Below are 19,974 nucleotides of genomic sequence, written 5' to 3'. Positions count from 1 at the left end.
CCAGCGGAACAAAGCAAGAAGGCAATAAGGTCTGCAACAGGCACTTAAACTTCACCCTGGTTTAACAGCAGACAATGACAAAACAGGAGAAACTCTTTGAAATGACTCACAGGCCCTGTGAAGCCACTGGGGGTCACACCCCTAAATCACCCAAGTGCCTTTGATCCATGCATTCTCAGAGCTCTTCCTACCCACTTCCTGTGCCCAGGAACACTTGGCATTTTCTTTATAGTGGGCTCACAGAAAGCAACAGAAATCTGCTCCTGGGGAGGTGCTAATGTCCAGCGAAATGCAGGAGACAGGAAGGCACAGCAAAGAGCCTGGATGGTACAGACCAGACTGCGGGCTTCCAGACAGCCTCTCCACGTGAGGGTTTCTCACGCCTGCAGGAGGAACAATCTCCAAAAAGGTCCTGCTGAGGGAAGCAACGGGTAGAAAATCCGCATCCTTTGGTATACACTTCATGTTTCCTCTAACCCCTCGCTTTTCCGTGACCCTACCTTCCTTGGATCTTATGTGCTATGTCTGAACAAACATGGAACATAATTGATTCCATTCTTAACCCCGTGGTGCCCAGTGCTCCAAGAACATGGGGGCCCATAATGGGAGTTTATTTCACGGGAAATATGTGCTAGCACTGTCCTTGTTTCCCACACACTAGAGATGAGCCAGCAGAGGCAAACTATTGAGGCAGGTCTTTCTCCAGCAGAAGAGATAAAAATCTCCTCTCACCTAGTTTAACCCCAATACTCAGGCTTCGGTTCCCTTCCAGGGCATTCCTCGGCTCTGAAAGAATAAAGCTGCATTCTCTCTTCCCTGGCCCGGCCTCCTCAGGGTCACATTTGCCTGCCCCCAGTCCTCACCACACCCCTTCGGGCCAGCCTGCTTTAAACGGGGCCTTTCTGTAAGATGTGACACATAATCCATTGCACCAACTGCTGTGGGGCTTCTGGTGCCAAAAGACCATTGAGAAAAAGGCTGCTTAAAAAAGTATGGAGTGACTCAGTACTGCCAAGTCCTGTGGGATTACTTATTCCAAGCCTGTCCTTCCTGTGTCAGGCTTCTTAAATGTTCATGCTCCTCCCATGTTTTGTTGACACCCTAGATCTAGGCTGCCCAATGAAACTGTCTGCTGTGATGGAAATGTTCTATATCTATACTATCCAACAGGGCAGCCATGAGCCATGTGTGGCTACTGAGCATTCGAAATGTGGCTAGTGTGACTGAGGAAATGAAGTTTCAGTTTACTTCATTTTAATTCACATAAACATAAGTAACTTCCTGGTGCTCATGGCTCCCTACTGGACAGCACAGGCCAGAGACATAATTTTGAGGGGAGGCCAGAGGATAGCATGCATACTTGGCTTATGTTACAATCACCTGAGGACCTCTTGCAAGTCCTGGTGCCCATTCTGTATCCCAGACAATTCAATCAGATTCTCTGGAAGTGGGACCCAGACATCTGCATTTTTTCTCTAATTGTTTCTAATTTTTTCTTTTTTTTTTTTTCCTGCTGTAGAGATGAGGTCTTGCTATGTTGCCCAAGCTGGTCTTGAACTTCTGGACTCAAGTGATCCTCCCTCCTCAGCCTCCCAAAGCAATGGAATTTCAGGCATGAGCCACCATGCCCGGCTGACACCTGCATTTTTTTAAGTCTCCTCAGGGGATGCCAATGCGCTGCCAAGATTGAGGATCAGTGCTCCAAAATGTGAAAATGTCTACCATTAATAGTCAATCCCTATCCGACCAGGCACTTCAAACACCAAAAACTAAGCCATGTAAATAATGAGGCCAAATATCCCACTCATCATGCAATCCTGTGGTACTATGCCACACCTCAGGCTCATCAATAGCAAAACCATGTCCAAAAAATGGGCTGCTTTATAAAGGAAGCCATGCGGAGGAAAAGAGACAGCTCAGAAAAGAAGGTAAAAGGAGGAAGCAAAGAGGTTTTACAAATAACTGTCAGTATATAAAGCCTGGCTAGTATCAATCTTTATATACAAATAATTCATTTTCTGGAAAGTTACCAGTTAACAATAAAACACACCTCCAAATCTAGTACTCCGAACAAACAGCTTTAATTGGATTCCTTCCCTTGGCTAACCCATCCACACACTCTCTGCGCCTAACAGTAAGCTCTTACCACTATGCATTTTTCTTCAAAAGATTATCTGAAACCTGTGCTTTTTCACTGGGGACATTAAACTCTTTAAATGGCAGCAATTAAAAAGCCGGTATTGGTCCAAAATCCATTTGCTCTGGCTCACTCTTGTCCAGCAGGCACAAATCTCAACCTTTACTTGCCATTACTAATTTCACCAAGTGTATCATTAATCTGGTGAAGCTTTTCCTCAGGGACTTGGTTTAACAGAGGCATCATATCCAGAGTTTGGAAAACAAACAAACAAACAAACAAAACAAAACACACACACACACACACACACACACACACACACACACACACACACACACTCAGGTTTCTGCAGCCTCTAATCTTCCAATCAGCATTTCCCAAAGGCATGCCATGCCCTTCAGGGTTGACTGCTGATAGAGTTCCAAAGCTGGGGCAAAAAGCTCACCAGCACTTTCTGGGCAGCACTGCTGAAAATCAAAAACAGCAAGAGAGATTCTAATGGGAAGAGTATCTGAAGGTTACTTTTTTTTTTTTCCAAACCTGTTCTTCATTTCTAGGATTTTATTATCATCATCATCATTATTACTTAGAGATGTGGATTTTGTTTGTTGCCAGGCTGGCCTCAAACTCCTGGGCTCAAGTGATCCTCCCACCTCAGCTTCCCAAGTAGCTAAGACCACAGGTGCTCACCATGGCACCAGGATGAATGTCACTCTTAATGACAATAAAAGTAGCTCCCTCTACATTGACAAGTGAAATATAAATGACCCAAAATTAACCCCCTCCCCAAATTATTTAATATTACTAAAGTAATTCAATTATAAAACCGAGAACTCCTAGAGCTGGCCAGGGCTTCAATAAGTCACCTTAACTAATGGACTCCCCTGCAAGGAAGAAGAGCTGGCTTAAGTTCATCCACATTCACAGCCAATAAGTTCTCAAAGAGCAAATGTAAATCCCTGCTGCTGTGGCAAACCAGACTGAATTCTTTTTCATCTTGGCCTTTGTGGGAACCAGCAGCAGCAACTCAGTGATGACTTCTCAACCATCCATTCCAATGGAGGGTAGACAACATGGATTTTTTAAAAAATTAACACAATACTTATAAAAGGATCTGGACTACATGTTTCATATACATCTGAATGTGGGTTATACTGAATAGAATAAAAATTCTTTCGGATTACAAAACTAGGATTGCTAGATAAATACTGGACATCAAGTTAAAGCTGAATTTCAGATAAACAATGAATTTTTAGGATAAGTATGTCTCAAATACTGCATAAGACAAACTTACACTAAAAAACGATGTGTTGTTCATCTGAAATTAAAATTTAACCAGGCATTCTGGCTTCTTTTTTGTTTGATTTTGTTTTTCCTAAATCTGGCAACCCTGCATATCACTACTCTGGGAAAAATCCAACTTTTAAAAGAGGCAGAAGAGGTTGGGCTTTGCCACTCCCCACCCACTCAACCTCCCAACCATTCTGTATCTCAGCGCCAGCTGTTCAAAAGGTGCTTTCCAGTGTAGATGCTAATTACACACAACCTGATAAATGAGTGTCCCAATACCCAGCACCCATCTCTGGGCCACAGGTGCTAATTATATAATTAAGTGCCACATATACACGTAGCTGAAAAAGTAAAAGTCAATTTTACTTTCTGAGCCTTTATCTGAGGAAAGGGCTCAGATAAAGCAAGCAATTAAGTTTGAGCAGGTGCCATAAATGGAATAAGCCATTAGTAAATATTAATGTTATTAAAAGCAAAGTTTGCTTGGAAGGCTGAAGCAGGAAGATCACTTGAGCGCAGGAGTTAGAGGCCAGCCTGGGCAACACAGTGAGACCTTGCCTCTTGGAAAAAAAAAAAGCAAAATTTGCTTGGGAGAAATAATATAAAGATAATAGAAAGCGAACTGAATACTTAAATGGTTATTACATGAATTAAGTACCCTAAATAATTTTTTAAATAGCTACAACTATTGAATAGCTATGTGCCAAACAACATTGCAAAACTTTACATGTTTTATTGCATTTAATCTTAACACCCTAGGAAGTGAGTCATGTCCCTTCCACAATGTGAAGAAACCAAGACACCAAGATTAGGTAACTTCGTTAAGACTAGAGTGACCATGTTATCTGGTTTGCCTCAGACCTTCCTAGTTTATGCCTGCTGTACTGGTACAACTATTAAAAGTGTCTCCTTTCATTCTCATAAATTACCTAGTTTGGATAATAAATTATGTGTTCACCTACCAAAGACCACAGTCAGTAACCAGCAGAGGCAGGGTTCCAACCAGGCAGTGTGGCTCCAAGAAACAGAACCTAACCACTGTAAAATACTCCCTCCCAAGTCCTACCTTCCACAGAAGAGGACTGGAACAATGGGATTTATTTATTTAATTTTACCAATCATACCTTAGATTTCTTACATGGTTACAAACCAACTTGGGGGGGAGGCGGTTGGTAAGGGTCATGTTTTCTATAACTATACTTTATTTGCCTTTAAATCATTGCTATACACAACACAAGTCATCTGCAGGCAGAGAAGACTCTGCAGTCAGCCTTCACTGACATCCCTGGGCCTGAAAATGTTTAAACATTTCAACTTAATCAAAGTATCTGGTCAAATATTTAACCAGATCTTTTTCTATTTTAAAACAACCTTTACTTTCCTTCAGCCTGGCCAGGCAGCCAGGACACTCAGTTGTTTGTTATTTTTATTAAAACAAAGGTGGACATGCAGTAGGTTCTGGCTTTTAGTTCCATACACAATGGGCTTTCCTCCTTTCCCTAGTAATAAAACATATATATATATACACATATATATACACACACACTCACATATACGTACATACATCTTTTTTTATCTCTGGTATTGTGTATTTTCAGAACACTTTCTATTTTCCCAGCAAATGTTTAACCATTCATGCTATTAACAGTTTGACAACATGAAAACAGTAAACATGAGCATAAACTTGTAGGCTTACTTCATTTATATAATTTTAAAATGCATCCCAAGTGGTTCCAATTAGCAGAAGTAAGATGCCTTTCAAGGTTCAGCACACTGGAAATAGTTGCAAGGACACCAAGTACTTCCACATATCTGTTAACAGCAATAGTTTCAGCCCTTACTCTTGTGTGAAGCTGTGTGATTGCACCTAGCCTCTCGGAGCTCTGGACTCTTCTTTGATACAATCATGTGGATGTACTAAGATCTACAGGGTTCGGCCCAGACCCAAAACTTCCAATTCTATGATCCTCTACAATCTTTCTGACTGTGAGCTGCACCCTGTAATGTGAAAACACTGCTCTTCCACGAAACTCCCCAACATTTGACCAGGTCCAGAGGGTGGCCCATCAGGGGACCCACTACAGGTCCTTGAAGAGTGAGGAAAAAAAACAATCCTCTCTCAAAGGCAGACTTACTCCAAGGCTACCATCACTGGAACCTGACACAAGCATCTGAGGGCATGAAACACGAGCGTTCTCATAAGAGAGTGAAATCTCTTCCCCGGGGAAGACCTGCCACAGACAAGGGCCCTGGGACCAGGATCGGACAGCTCTGTGGCAACTGGTGCAGGTTCCCATGTTTGTCATATCCCTGGATACATTAAGCCTGATTCCTGTCAGCCTCAGACCATGTGAAAAATGTTTTCTTAATGTATGTTTTTGTGATGGGTCATGAATGCTTTTTCCACAATACTGGTATCAACAAAAAGGATAAGACTGGGAACTGTGGCTCTGAAGAAGGTTTTCTCTGCCTCAAATCCTCCCAAGTCACCTTTAAAAAGCAAAGTCTACTACCAGTCTTTTTTTTTTTGAGATGGACTCTTACTCTGTCACCCAGGCTGGAATGCAGCGGCATGATCTTGGCTCACTGCAACCTCCGCCTCCCAGGTTCAAGCAATTCTCCTGCCTCAGCCTCCTGAGTAGCTGGGATAACGGGCACCCGCCACCATGCCAGCTAATTTTTGCATTTTTAGTAGAGACGGGGTTTCACCATATTAGCCAGGCTGGTCTCGAACTCCTGACCTCGTGCTCCGCCCACCTCAGCCTCCCAAAGTGCTGGGATTACAGGCATGAGCCACCGCGCCCAGCCTACCAGTCAGTCTTAATCGTAATGGCAGCAGGAAAAGGGTAGGGTGGGGCTGTGAGGTAACTGACAGCTTTAAAAGTGTGTTTCCTGTCATAAAACAGCAATTGTCCTTCGCACCTGTTTACTCACAAAGGAAAAAAGCAAACAAAACAGAAAATGAAAAAAGAATTCTTGGCCTGGATTTAACATGATTTCTAATAGAAAGTGAATTAATTAATTAAAAAAAAAAAAAAAGGTAATGCCACAAATCCGAAAGTCTGGGGAGTTAGAGAGTTTAGTCTTTATCAAGTTTTACCCATGTACAGTTACAAAACGGGGGTTGGGGAGGCTGCTCCTTCTTACCTAAAGTTTATTACATGAAGTTTACAGCCATTTTAAGTGAAAACTTCCATACTAAGATTTGTTACATACGCAGGCATAAAATCCCTGGCAACAAATGTTGTGTTTAAATCCAAAGTCTTCTGGTAGAGAAATATTTAATACCTCTTGACAAAAGTTATCTCTCTGTTTCTTATCAGAGCCCTCATTTCAGTAGTATCTCATTTCAAAACTTCTAGAAAACTTGTTACAGAAAGTCAAAGAGAACCAAGAAAAACACTGAAGCCAATAAAAAAAAAACTCGGTGTGTTTGGACCATCTGTCCAAACCAATTTAATTTTTTTATAACCACTAAGATATGTGGTCAAAGTTTATTTACCTTTCTCTTTTCAATGGTAAGTTTAGAACACAAAGGCAACTAAATGAAGAAAAAGTCCTATGGATTCAACACAGGCATGTAACCAGTAATAACTAATTTTTAAAAACACTGCCTGCAATTTGATTTGCAATAGAAAAAATCTCTCTTCAAATAGTCAACTCTTTTAACAAACAATAAAAACAAAGCTTCTTCCCAATGCAAGTATTAATTAAAATGCAATTCCAAATACTTGCTTTGTATGAGAACAAGTTAGACAAATTAGGGTATCCCAAAGCATGTTCAACAAAACCTGCATCCGAGAGAGGCTATGAAAAGTAAGAAAATAATTCAAAGGTCAGGTAAGTTTGGGAAACATCGTATGTTACTCTCCACCTCCAGAATGCCTGTTAGGATACAACAGCTCGGAGACGACCTTCACTAAAGAGGCCTAGTACATGTTATTAAGCCCAGCATTCTCCAGATTTACTTGACCAGGAGATGCCCTTTATCAACAGTACATGTGAACATACTGCAAAACTGGTGCTTCAAAGAAGCTGATGGGAAATGCTGGATTCGACCATATTACCTACTCTGTTATCTATGTTTAGTTAGAAACTTTTAATGATCACACATACCCAGTCTCTTCTTTTTGTGGCTACATGGGAGGATTACTCTTACCTGCTACCCTAGCATTTGGGCGGGGCATTTGATTATTCTGATCAATGGCCTGCATCTAGCCCATCAGTCCACCGTCCTTGAGTGAGGATGGCACAGAGCACCCTGCCACCATGTGACGGACAAGTAACATGAGTGGAAAATACGCATCTGTGAGTTTGAGCCACCGAGATTCTGGAGATCTTTGTTACTGCAGCACCAGCCTAACCTGCCTGATAAACTATGGAAGGGAATTTTTCTTAAATAAACCTATATATAGTGACCAGAAGTGACAAAATAAATATATAGAGAAATGTGGAATAAGCATACAACAAGAATGAACCTTTAAGGCCACTTTGGTCTAAAGAATCTCATTTCAAGCACTAAAGAGCAGTGAATTAAAACTAAACACTCTGGTATGGACTAATTTGAAGCATCAAAAGTTTTGTTTGTAGTTTGTGGAGGTGAGGCCTTTGACACAAGAAAACTAAAACTCTATTACATAATTTGTCTAAATTCATACTGTTAATAACAGTCATGTGCCTTACCGATGGCTGTATTCTTTTCACTAAACAATGAGTCTGAATTAGTGGAAAATACTAAATGATGAATTTAAAAAATAGTTTTGAGTTTCATTACTCCAAGGCACTCTGTAAGAATGCCGTTCTGTGGCTCAAACTCACAGAAGCATGTTTCCCACTCATGTTACGTGCCTGTCACATGGTAGCAGGAGGCTCTACCATTCTCACTCAAGGACTCTGGCTGCAGTCTGGACACAGGCCATTCCTCAGAACTAGTCCAACATGCCACCAAAATGCAAGGGGAGCAGGCAAGAGTGATTCTCCCATGTGACCACAGAGAGAAGGGACTGCATATCTGTCATCATTAAAAGTTTCTAAACATAGATAACAGCATAGATAATGTGGTTTAATCCAGCATTTCCCATTAGCTTCTGTAAGAATGTGGAAGTATTATGGAACCAAAAGGAGACAAACTGTTGCCAAACGGAAGGCCCTAAGCTTTTAAAGAATAAGCTGTTCTTATAATTGACAAACTAACCGTTTGCAAGGGATACATCCACTTTTCTTTTTCTTTTTTGAGACGGAGTTTCGCTCTTGTCACCCAGGCTGGAGTGCAGTGGCGCGATCTCAGCTCACTGCAACCTCTGCCTCCCGGGCTCAAGTGATTCTCCTGACTCGGCCTCCTGAGTAGCTGGGATTATAGGCATGTGCCACCACGCCCGGCTAATTTTTTGTATTTTTATAATTTTATATTTTGTATTTTTATAATTTTTTGTGTTTTTGTATTTTCACCATGTGGCCAGGTTGGTCTCGAACTCCTGACCTGAAGGCAATCTACCCGCCTCAGCCTCCCAAAGTGCTGGGATTACAGGCATGAGCCACTGCGCCCAGCCTACATCCACTTTTGAAAACAAAGTTTACTTTTTCAAATTATAGAAGTAACATATGCTTACTGTAGAACAGCAGAAAATACAAAACAGCTCTGAGACAAAAGCAAAAATCACAAGGAATCTCATCCATTCTCCCCTCCCCCAAAAACCTTAATATTTGTAGTATTTCCTTATCCCTTTTGTATATTTTTCTACATAGTTACGGTAATTCCATTTATATAATCTTGTGTTCTGCTTTTTCTCCCTATGTTAAAAACCTTCCCATGTTATTAGAAGGTATTCCATAATAATATTAAAGTTTTTATTAATATAGTAAATAATACTTACATATTTCCAGGCACTAGTCTAACTGCTTTACCTATAACTTATTTAATCCAACCAACCCTATATGGTCTGTACTATGATTATCCTGATCTTACTGATGAGGAAACTGAGACCGAGAAGGGTTAATGACTTGCTCAGGGTCACAAAGTGGGCCCATGGTGAAATCAGGTTTTAGACCCAGGCACCACAGCTCCACGGTCAGCACTTTTAACTACACACTGTATTGCCTCCAGAATATATAGTCCACCCTGTAACTTACCAATGATGGACTTTTAGGTTATCACCACTTAAAAAAATCATAGTAATGTTACAATAGACATCTTTATAGGCATCTGAAGCACTATTTTATCTAAGCCTATTCAGACAGCAAAACTTTTACCAGTTCAACAAGTTCAATTTATTTTCAGCTAGCCAACAACAGCTGTAGAAACATCTAAAATGGCTAGCATTTCATACACCAACTCATTACTCCACCTACCAGTGGTATGAACTTCCATGTGGGCCTCACCTGTCCACCCTGCTGCCATCTGCAGCAGACTCCAATGTTTCCGTCTGCCTTCACACTGCAGAAGGAGCCAGTTAAAACCCTGGGTCTGTCTGACTGCATCCCCCAGTAGATATAAGCAAATTCCATAGATTTTTTATGTCTGGAATATTTTAAATGCTAAGCTTATTTGTTCCTAGTCCTATAAGCTTGTGCCAGTACAAGGCATACAGACGAGGAGACAGAACATCCCATATACATGTGTAAAATTTAAAATGAATGTTTTTCTAATTCAGACAATAATCCAGAAAAGGAACATTTGAGTATTTAACTTTTTGCCTGCTTATCGTATAATGAATGACTGAATTCTCCTGCAAGGTTAAAGGAATGCACACTCTAAATTAATAGATGGTGGGAGGTGAAAACTATCCAAAATATATTTTCACATGAGGGGACCAGATAATGGTATGCTAAGTAAAAAGGAAATGGTGGCCTGTAGTTCACCTCTCCTCAATACAATTTACCAGTTCAGTTATCCAAGGATGTGTGTGTATGTGTGTGCGTGTGTGCTTAAAAAAAAAACAAAACTGGAGATGTCCAATAAAAGGGAAAAGCAAAAACAGAATTTTGATACTTTAGAAGTCATAGGCTCAATAAAGAAATTTTCCAACATGGCAACAATGCCATATAGAATTCATTTGCCATCTGAAAGTGAAAAGATCAATACATCTAAAAGAAGCTGCCCACACACGCATTTTCCAAGAAATATTTTTCTATGTTATAAAAACACAAAATATGGTTTTTAACATATTCTAAAAACATACCCCAAATAACCTCAATTCTATTGACCAAAAAGTACAGTAATTACAAATTATAAATCTCTGTATAAGGCACTTACATAAAACCAGAAATAATGTTTCTATACAAGGAGAGGACCTCTAAAATACATGTAAAATACGGAAAGTGACAAAGCAAAATTCAAGACTTACACATATGAAGACAGTGAAACAAAAGAAACAAAGCCATTTTCAGGATACGCTACAGAGCTATGAAATTATCACAATTAGTCTCAATCTAAACGTCTAAAGGACTTTAAGTTATGGGATAATTAACATATCTGTTAATATCATCTTTTAGGAAATCCTTTAGTATAGAAACTTGGTTTGTATTTAAGCCTCTCAAAATAAAGTTAACTCACTGTTTCCATCTACTATTTAACATGTAACTCACTGTTTTCATCTGCTATTTAACATATAAATCCTGGAAATTCTTAGTTTACTTCCAATCATTAACCCAAATACTGCATTTTTAAAAATGTCATATTCAGAGCACCCAAACTAACTGGCTGTTTAGATTAGTCCCACAGGCAGCCCCAGCCCCACCCAGGTACCCACACCCCCTGCAACCTTGATCACATCACCATCAGGCTCAAGTCTGTACAGGACCCATTTCAAAGACCACTCCCAACCCCCCCTGTTTTTACCACTCTGACTTAAAAAACAAGCCTTTCTATTGAAAAAAATTGAGAGACTACAGTTAGACAGTGAATTAATTACAAACAAGAACTAAGTACTGCAGACAAACTACCAATGAGCTTACTAAGAAGTCTAAAAGTGAATCAGCTAAGACAAGATTCCACAGCAAAGTAACCAATGCCTCTGACTCTGCCTCTCTAATGTGTTAGTGTTCAAACATCAATAATTCCTTTCCAAAAGCCTATCAAACATATAAAATATAGGACTTTTAAAAAAAATCTTCAGGCTGGGCGCAGTGGCTCATGCCTGTAATCCCAGCACTTTGGTAGGTCCAGGCGGGCGGATTATGAGGTCAAGAGATCGAGACCATCCTGGCTAACATGGTGAAACCCTGTCTCTACTAAAAATACAAAAAATTAGCTGGGCGTGGTGGTGGGTGCCTGTAGTCCCAGCTACTCAGGAGGCTGAGGCAGGAGAATGGTGTGAACCCAGGAGGCGGAGCTTGCAGTGAGCCAAGATCGCGCCACTGCACTCTGGCCTGGGCGACAGAGCGAGACTCAGTCTCAAAAAAAAAAAAAAAAAAAAAAACATCTTCAGGGCCCCAGTTTTTATTCAAACTACAAAGACTATATATTTTTCAGTGAGTTGGGTGAGCAGAGCAGAAGAACTACAAGTGAAGTTTCAGATAATGTGCTAATAATTAGTCCAGTAAAATCATTCAACATAAGATGTTACAGAGAATTATATCTTCTTCATATGCTCATAAGATGTTTTAAGACAGTTGGAACAGCAAAAAAAAAAAAAAAAAAATCGATAAAAAAGAGGAAAGCACCTCTTGGTAACACATTCAGAGGAGCAATTTTGCTCAAAAGAAATGCCAAGTTTCAAGATATTTGTTAACCTGCAGCTATTTTAAGGCAGGCCAAGGCTGCATTAGTGCTTGTCACACAGCTTGCTCCCAACCTCTTGGCAGTTCTCCAACACATTCCAACATTTGATGCACAGCCTTGCTGGAATCACGTCCCACTTATCTCTAAAGACAACCAAGTAAGATGTTGCTGCATTACACAACCAACCTGCCATTTATTCCCATCAGGTCACTTTGCACAATGCCTGACTGAAAAAAAAAAAAAAATCAGACCACCATCTGAGTGAATGGAGCTTAGTCCAAAAAGATACAAGTCACACTCAGCCAAAAAATATGTATCAGAAAACTGCTCAACCTGGGGAGAAATGTCATGCCTTACTGCCCAAAGAAAGGTTAAGCACTCACCAAGTAAGGAAGGAGAACTGATACCAAGGGAAATGAGCAAGATCAACTAAAGATGGTAAACCTTAGAACCTTACTCATGCCACCACTGCCTACATTCTGTTCTTTTTGTTTGTTTTCGTAGAGACCAGGTCTCACCATGTCGCCCAAGCTGGTCTCAAACTCCTAGGCTCAAGCAATTTTCCCACCTTGGCCTCCAAAAGTGCTGGGATTACAGGCATGAGCCACCCCACCTAATCCCTACATTTTGAAGATTATTAATTGAGTACATTCTAAAGCAGGGGTGTCTAATCTTTTGGCTTCCCTGGGCCACACTGGAAGAAGAAGTGTCTTGGGCTATACATAAAGTAAAACACTAATGATAGCTAATGAGCTATAAATATCACAAAAAATATCTCATAATGTTTTAAGAAAGTTTACAAATTTGTGCTGGGCCACATTCAAAGGCTGTAGGTTGGACAAGATTGTTCTAAAGGATAATCTCAGTATTTAATGAGCCCCATTAACTCTGCGAAAAGAACAGTGTGGGGTTTGAGACAGGTTCTTTCTACTCTGCCCAGGCTAGTCTTGAAGCCCTGGGCTCAAGAGATCCTCCCACGTCAGCCTCTCAAGTAGCTAGGATTACAGGCACATGCCACCCTGTTCTGGTGAACAGAACAATTTAACATAGCAATACATCCTCTAAAAGTCAGTGTACTCTCTAATTTTTAATATTTGGCAAAAACGAAAAAAGCCCTCTTCAGAAACAAAATGGAATGTTTTTTGAAGCCATTCAAATGCTGCTACATTCCATTCTTGCTAAAAAACATATTTAATTAGCACATTTGAGACTCACGCTCTGCACAGCTGCACAACATTCCAGAGATAGGCCAGCTACCGATACACTCTTTACATGAAATACCACTGACTTTAAAAGTTGAGGAGACTGAGAAGCAGTTCTCAAGTATGACTCACTAAAGATAGGTTTATTTCACGTGAACAAAGTTTCCTTTAACAAGAGTGTAGTCCAGTGAAAATACATACTATAATTAAGAATAAAAAATGCATGTACACATGTACCAATAAAATATTTCTTCACAGCCGGAAAAAATATATATAAAAAATTCAAATGACAGACAAGAATAGTCTCCCTTTGAAACAAGACGATACATCAGCCTTCTCTCTAATTAAACTTTTACCTTTTATGAATTAAGCAAGATTTCTAGAACTAGGATGAAACCTATGTCAGAAACACACACTTCGAAGGCAAAATAGGCCTTTCAAAATAAGAAATCATCCTGATTATCAGGGAAACTCGGGATTTCCTTTAGCCCTGGGTGTTGATTTAAAAACAAGCAAACAGACAAAAACCTACCTTTGAAACAGAGAATGAAAGACAGGATGTGTGCTGGTTTCTTTCCTTCCGAAATGGCAGGCAGATCTCTTTGCTCCAGGCTAGAGGCACTTCCCCAACTCCACCCCAGGAGATAAATTGGGTATTTAGGGACAACTGGCAGCACAGACTTGTCAATCTTGCTGTGAGAAGGACCAGGCCCCTCTCAGAGAAGTCACCTGACTGATATCTCTGACCACAACTCATCTCCTGAAATAGTGACAGGTATTCTCATCTGCTCAGAGGACTGGCTAAGGCCACATTCCAGCCCCCTACCCTCCTCTAACCTAGGCCGCTGGGACCACTCTGGGCACTGCCTGGTCTTGTTGCCATCCCAAGTGTCAAGACCTAACATTTGCAGCTGCCTCAAGATCAAGTTGAGACTCCTACACCAGGCTTCAGGCAGCTCAGGCACAGTAACCATCAAGCATTTCCCTTGATGGGCTTTGGCCACCTGCAAACAAAATGATTCCCATCAGGTTAGGAGTTTCAGAAGAATCCCTTAGTTGGAGAAAGTCCACCCAGCCCAGCTCAGATTTTTCCCTCTTAACTGTGAAAAGGGCCAACACTGACCTTTAGTGTTTAAACCCCAGAAGAAGGCCATTTGTCACTTTTCCTTGGGGCCCATTACCCAAATGAGACTAACAGCAACCCCCAAGTTTCTAAAGGAAATTGCTGGAAAGAGCTTTTTTTATCTTCCAATGAAATATTTCTCCCCTCTTCCCACTCCCTCTTTTCCTTCAGCAGATACGGAAGCCGTTTTGGCACCTTCCTCAGAAAGAAGCCGAATACTAGAGTTAAAGGCAACAAAGGCCAGCAAGTCACCTCCATCCATCTGATGTCCTAAAGGCTTAAAGAACTGGCTTGCATAATCAAATAGAAATAACGCTTTTTCTTCTTGAAACAGATCCTAAATCCCAAGATAGAATTGTAAAGAATCCAGCTAATACAAAGACCCCAAGAAAGCTGAGCTCTAGTATATGCTTTCATCAGTTACAACCAAACCCAGCCCAGTAAAATTTATTACACTTAAAACCAAGATTATAATAACCACATCCATTCCACTGCGACACATTATGGGATAGGTATTTCAAAGACTCTGAAATCAGAACACAAAAGTAAAATCAGATGTTGTCCGAAGCATATGGAGATGTCTCTCAGGGGAATTAATGCAACTGTGATGGGAATTCCCTTCAGAACAAAACAGAAAGCACATTATCTAATGAGAATTTAATTTCTGGTATTTTTCCATTGTAAAAAGACATTATTCATAAAAGAGAAACAGCTATAATAAACAAATTTTTGAATTCTTTCTTCCTTTCCATTTTTCTTTAACATCCCACCCCTAAAACAGCTCAGGGCAACAGATAGTGTTCATGCTACAGCTTTAACTATAGACCAGTCATTAGATTTTATGTTTTGCCATGCAACATGCATAAGCTGCAAGAGTGCTGAACATCATCATGTCATTATAGAGACTGTCAAAACTCTACATCTTCAGTTTAAGATTGGAGGATTGGCCCTTAATATGTATGTGTGAGATGAAGAAACATGCACAGAAAAAAAAGGCTTAAAAGAGAAACACTAAAATAAATAAATAAATATATATACACACATATTTTTTTATTTTTTTATTTTTTATTTTTTTATTTTATTTTTTTTGAGACTGAGTCTCACTCTGTCACCCAGGCTGGAGCGCAATGGTGCGGTCTCAGCTCACTGCAACCTCCACCTCCTGGGTTCAAGTGATTCTCCTGCCTCAGCCTCCCAAGTAGCTGGGACTAGAGAAGCCCACCACCACACCCAGCCAATTTTTGCATTTTTAGTAGAGACAAAGTTTCACTATGTTGGCCAGGCTCGTCTCAAACTCCTGACCTCATGATCTGCCCGCCTCGGCCTCCCAAAGTGCTGGCATTAGAGGCGTGAGCCACCGCACCTGGCCGAGAAACACTAAAATATTAACTGTATGTTTCCGGGGTCACATAGTATCTAGTGATTTTAATTTTCTTCTTTGTATTCATCTTTAGTTTCCATATGATCTAAAACATCTATTATTTCAGTAATAAAAAGATATCTTAAAAATACTTTTGTATTTTGTTATGATGATTTTATACTAACTTATGCCTTTATGATGGTATATAGTCTTCATAAGCCATTCAAAAAACCACATATACTATGTGTATTAGCAGAAATTTAAAAAAAAAAATCAGGGATTCTAAGGTGGTAAAAATACAAAGACTATTTTAATTTTTAAAACTATTGTAATCACTATAAAAACACTCCTGGCCAGGCGCGGTGGCTCACGCCTGTAATCCCAGAATTTTGGGAGGCCAAGGAGGGTGGATCACTTGAGGTCAGGAGTTCGAGACCAGTCTGGCCAACATGGTGAAACCCGTCTCTACTAAAAATACAAAAATTAGCTGGGCATGGTGGCAGGCGCCAGCTACTCGGGAGGCTGAGGCAGGAGAATCGCTTGAACCTGGGAGGCGGAGGTTGCAGTGAGCCGAGATCGCGCCATCGCACTCCAGCCTGGGGGATAAGAGCAAGACTTTGTCTCCAACAACAGCAACAACAAAGTACTCCTATGTTTACAGGTTTCAAAATGCCGTGGAAAATGTTTAAACATCACAGATCAAAATAAATAACATTGTTTTAAGGAAGAATCTAAGTTTTCCTTCCCATTCAAGTAAATAAGATAAAGAGAAAAAAGCCCCCCCACCCCCAAAAAAATCCCCTATCCCTATCCCAGCCCAAGACTTTACAGCTGGTGAAGAACATTCCAGAAAAATGTACAGCCCTTCAACATTTATATTTGGCCTTGAGGCAAACACACTAGAACAAAATGTATCCCTGAAACAGCCACCCAAGAGTACTGTAGGGAAACGAAACTTCACCGAGAGCCAAAGGCAGTGGCCATTAGTGGCTGATTCCTCCTGGACAATGTTTCTGTCAGGCGCTCTCTCGGCCAGTTCTTAGAGCTTTTCCCACACTCTGCATAAGTAATGAACTGCCAAGGCTGTAACAAAAATGAACATTTAAACAAGGAATGAAAAGATCTTTCAAAAATTTCAGTGTTCTTTATATCTTCATTATTAATACTGCTTTTCCGTAAGTTTGGTAGAAAAAAATTGAACAGCAGAAAGTATATTTAGCTGGTAAATTATTTGATTAGTTTGTATCCAGCTAAAATGAGGTTTGGTCAGAAGTGTTAGGATATTTTTGATAAAGAACAAGAATTTGTTATTTCCTAAAACTTAAAAAATATGGAGAAAAAAATATACAGAGATGAAATCTTCTGCAATTCCATTACCCAAGATAACCAATGTTAATAGGCTCATGAACTTTCTAAGAATAAACATACTTTTTTTTTTTTTTTTTTTTTTTTTTTTTTTTTTTTTTTTTTTTTTGAGACGGAGTCTCGCTCTGTCGCCCAGGCTGGAGTGCAGTGGCGCGATCTCGGCTCACTGCAAGCTTCGCCTCCCGGGTTCACGCCATTCTCCTGCCTCAGCCTCCCGAGTAGCTGGGACTACAGGCGCCCGCTACCACGCCCGGCTAATTTTTTGTATTTTTAGTAGAGACGGGGTTTCACCGTGTTAGCCAGGATGGTCTCGAAGAATAAACATACTTAATTACACAAATTACACTTTGAAAATACATACCTCAAAGGAATAAATTCTGTTGTACTTATATATCATCCTAAATTTCATACTAATTGATCTATTGGGTAAAAATCTATAGTTATGTTCTAATACATATTTTACTGCCTAACTAGTGGCTTCAAATTTGTATATTAAAAATCAGAACTAACAGGGCATTCTCGATTCTAGAGCAGAGATATTAAAATGGTTCTAAAAATCACTCAGATGTTTACTGTCACAGTTGAGAGTTTCTTAAGAATGGACGTATGACTCCTATAAACAAGGGTCAGTTTTAAAGCAATCTTGATAACATCTTATTTTTATATGTCAAAGCACAATTAATCCTGAAAGCTTCTTCAAACAACCACTCAGTTAAAGCTGATGGCAGAAAAAATACAAAATTAATGGAAATTCATTAATTTTTATAAGCTACATTTCACAAAGTACCAACACACTTAGAGACTTGGACCATAAAATAGAAAGTACTATTCCCTCCCAAACATTTCCTCCACTGGCTAAGGACAACTTGACTCATTCATGGGACTCCTTTTCAAAATACTGTCTCTATAAAATTCCCCATTTAAAATGTTTTAAAATATGTGCCTCCCTTCGTGGTAGAGATTACTCAATCAAACACACACCTCTCTCTCCCATGTGTGAGATATATATATATATATATATATATATATATGAGATAAACATGATATGTATGCATCATATATGTATATATACAAAAATATAACATTGCACAGGAATTTCTTTTCATACAAAAAACGAAGAATATTAAAATTAGTTCCTCTCAATCTTAGCCTACAATATTCCCAGATGCTGAGATACCATTCACTGAAAGTAAATCTAAATCTGAAGTGATTTTTATTTTAAAATGTTCACTTGGAATTTTACCTTCATTTCTGACCAATTCCACTGAAACCTGATGGTCTAATGGTTACAAACTAGCTCCAGTAGCAGTGTTTAGGTTTCCACGAGTGAGAACATGCACGTCATGGAATTCCACTGCTCTGCACTCAAGTGTGGAGACTGGAAATACCAAAGAACCCTGGTCCTCTGCTCTTTTCAAGCTGCCTAGGTTAGTGTAGAGAATTAATACATTTGAATACACTAATTTATCTCACACCTATACCCTTAAGATGCTAACTTACACACTGTATCATTGCTCTTAGAAAACTGCAAAGAAGGACAGATATAACAATCGCTGGATTTAAAACTATTTCTTAATAATGATCTACAATTGGACAGATTTACTTTTTTCTTTCCTTTTTAAAAATTAGAATTTTTAAAGTGTTGATTGCTTTTTTGATTATTAAAAAATGGTGCCCAAGGCTGGGCACGGTGGCTCACATTTGTAATCCCAACACTTTGGGAGGCCAAGGCAGGCAGATCACTTGAGTTCAGGAGTTGAAGACCAGCCTGGGCAACACGGTGAAACCTCGTCTCTATAAAAAAATTTAAGGTTTAAAAATTAGCCCTGTGTGGTGGTACACGCCTGCAACTACTTGGGAGGCTGAGGCAGGAGGACTGCTTGAACCCAGGAGGTCAAGGCTGCAGTGAGCCATGTTCGTGCCAATGCACTCCAGCCTGGGCAACAGAATAAGACTCTGTCTCAAACAAAACAAAAGAAAACAAAATAAAACAAAAAAAAGTTCCTCAAACAAACCAAAACAAATGGTCCTCATGGTCATCTATTATATTATTTACTGCATTCTTCTCTACCGTGAAATATTTCAAAACTCAAAAAGAGAAACATTAAGTCATGGGAATTTCCTTTCATACAAGAGAGGAAATCACCCATCAACCTACCATCCAAAGCAAACCATTAACATTTTAATGTATTTCCTTCCAGTCTTTTACTTAATACAGTAAAACCAGGATTATAGTACACTATACAATTTTGCATCCAGATATTTCCACTAACCCCTGTATTACCGGCATCTTCCCATCTCAGTAATATTCTTCCAAACCATTATTTTAAGCACTACATTGAATTCCACCCTACAGTTGCGCCATAATTTATTTGATTATGTTCCATTAAAAAACATTTCCCCTTTTCTCTATTAATGTTGCCAAGAAAATCCTTGTTTAAAAACTTGTCCTTATTTTTAATTGTTTTTGTAGGTTACCAAGCTACATGTGAGATTTCAGTTCAAGAGGTATAAGCATTTAAGGCTTCTGTTACATATATATAACCCAACTGTTTTCCCCTAAGTTTGTATTAATCAAAATATGCTCTCAACAGGTGATGCAGAGCTCCCATCTCACAGCAGCCCAGAGCATAATATCTATCCATTAAGTGGAAAAATTAATTAATTTAGTCTGTATTTCATACACTGGTGAGTTTGAACTTACAGTTATCGACCTCCTTGATTTCTTCTTTTATAAACTATCTGCTCATATCATTTCCTTAGCTACTAAGGCTTTAG

General features: G+C 39.6%; 1 protein-coding gene across 11 annotated transcripts in view; it reads right to left on the bottom strand.

Moving 5' to 3' along the window:
* SPTBN1 (spectrin beta, non-erythrocytic 1) overlaps positions 1 to 19,974 on the bottom strand; it is a 215,120-nt gene that overhangs the window by 187,580 nt on the left and 7,566 nt on the right. The window contains exon 1 of one of the 11 annotated variants that reach the window (XM_047445592.1): positions 16,793 to 16,909. The exons of the other annotated variants lie outside the window; for them this stretch is intronic. The gene's annotated coding sequence lies outside the window, so the exon portion shown is untranslated. Of the gene's footprint in view, positions 1 to 16,792; positions 16,910 to 19,974 lie in introns of those variants that run through there. 11 annotated transcript variants of the gene reach the window in all.

Source organism: Homo sapiens, chromosome 2, assembly GCF_000001405.40.
Source record: "Homo sapiens chromosome 2, GRCh38.p14 Primary Assembly".
NCBI lineage: Eukaryota > Metazoa > Chordata > Mammalia > Primates > Hominidae > Homo > Homo sapiens.
This window is presented reverse-complemented; position numbering and strand designations above follow the sequence as displayed.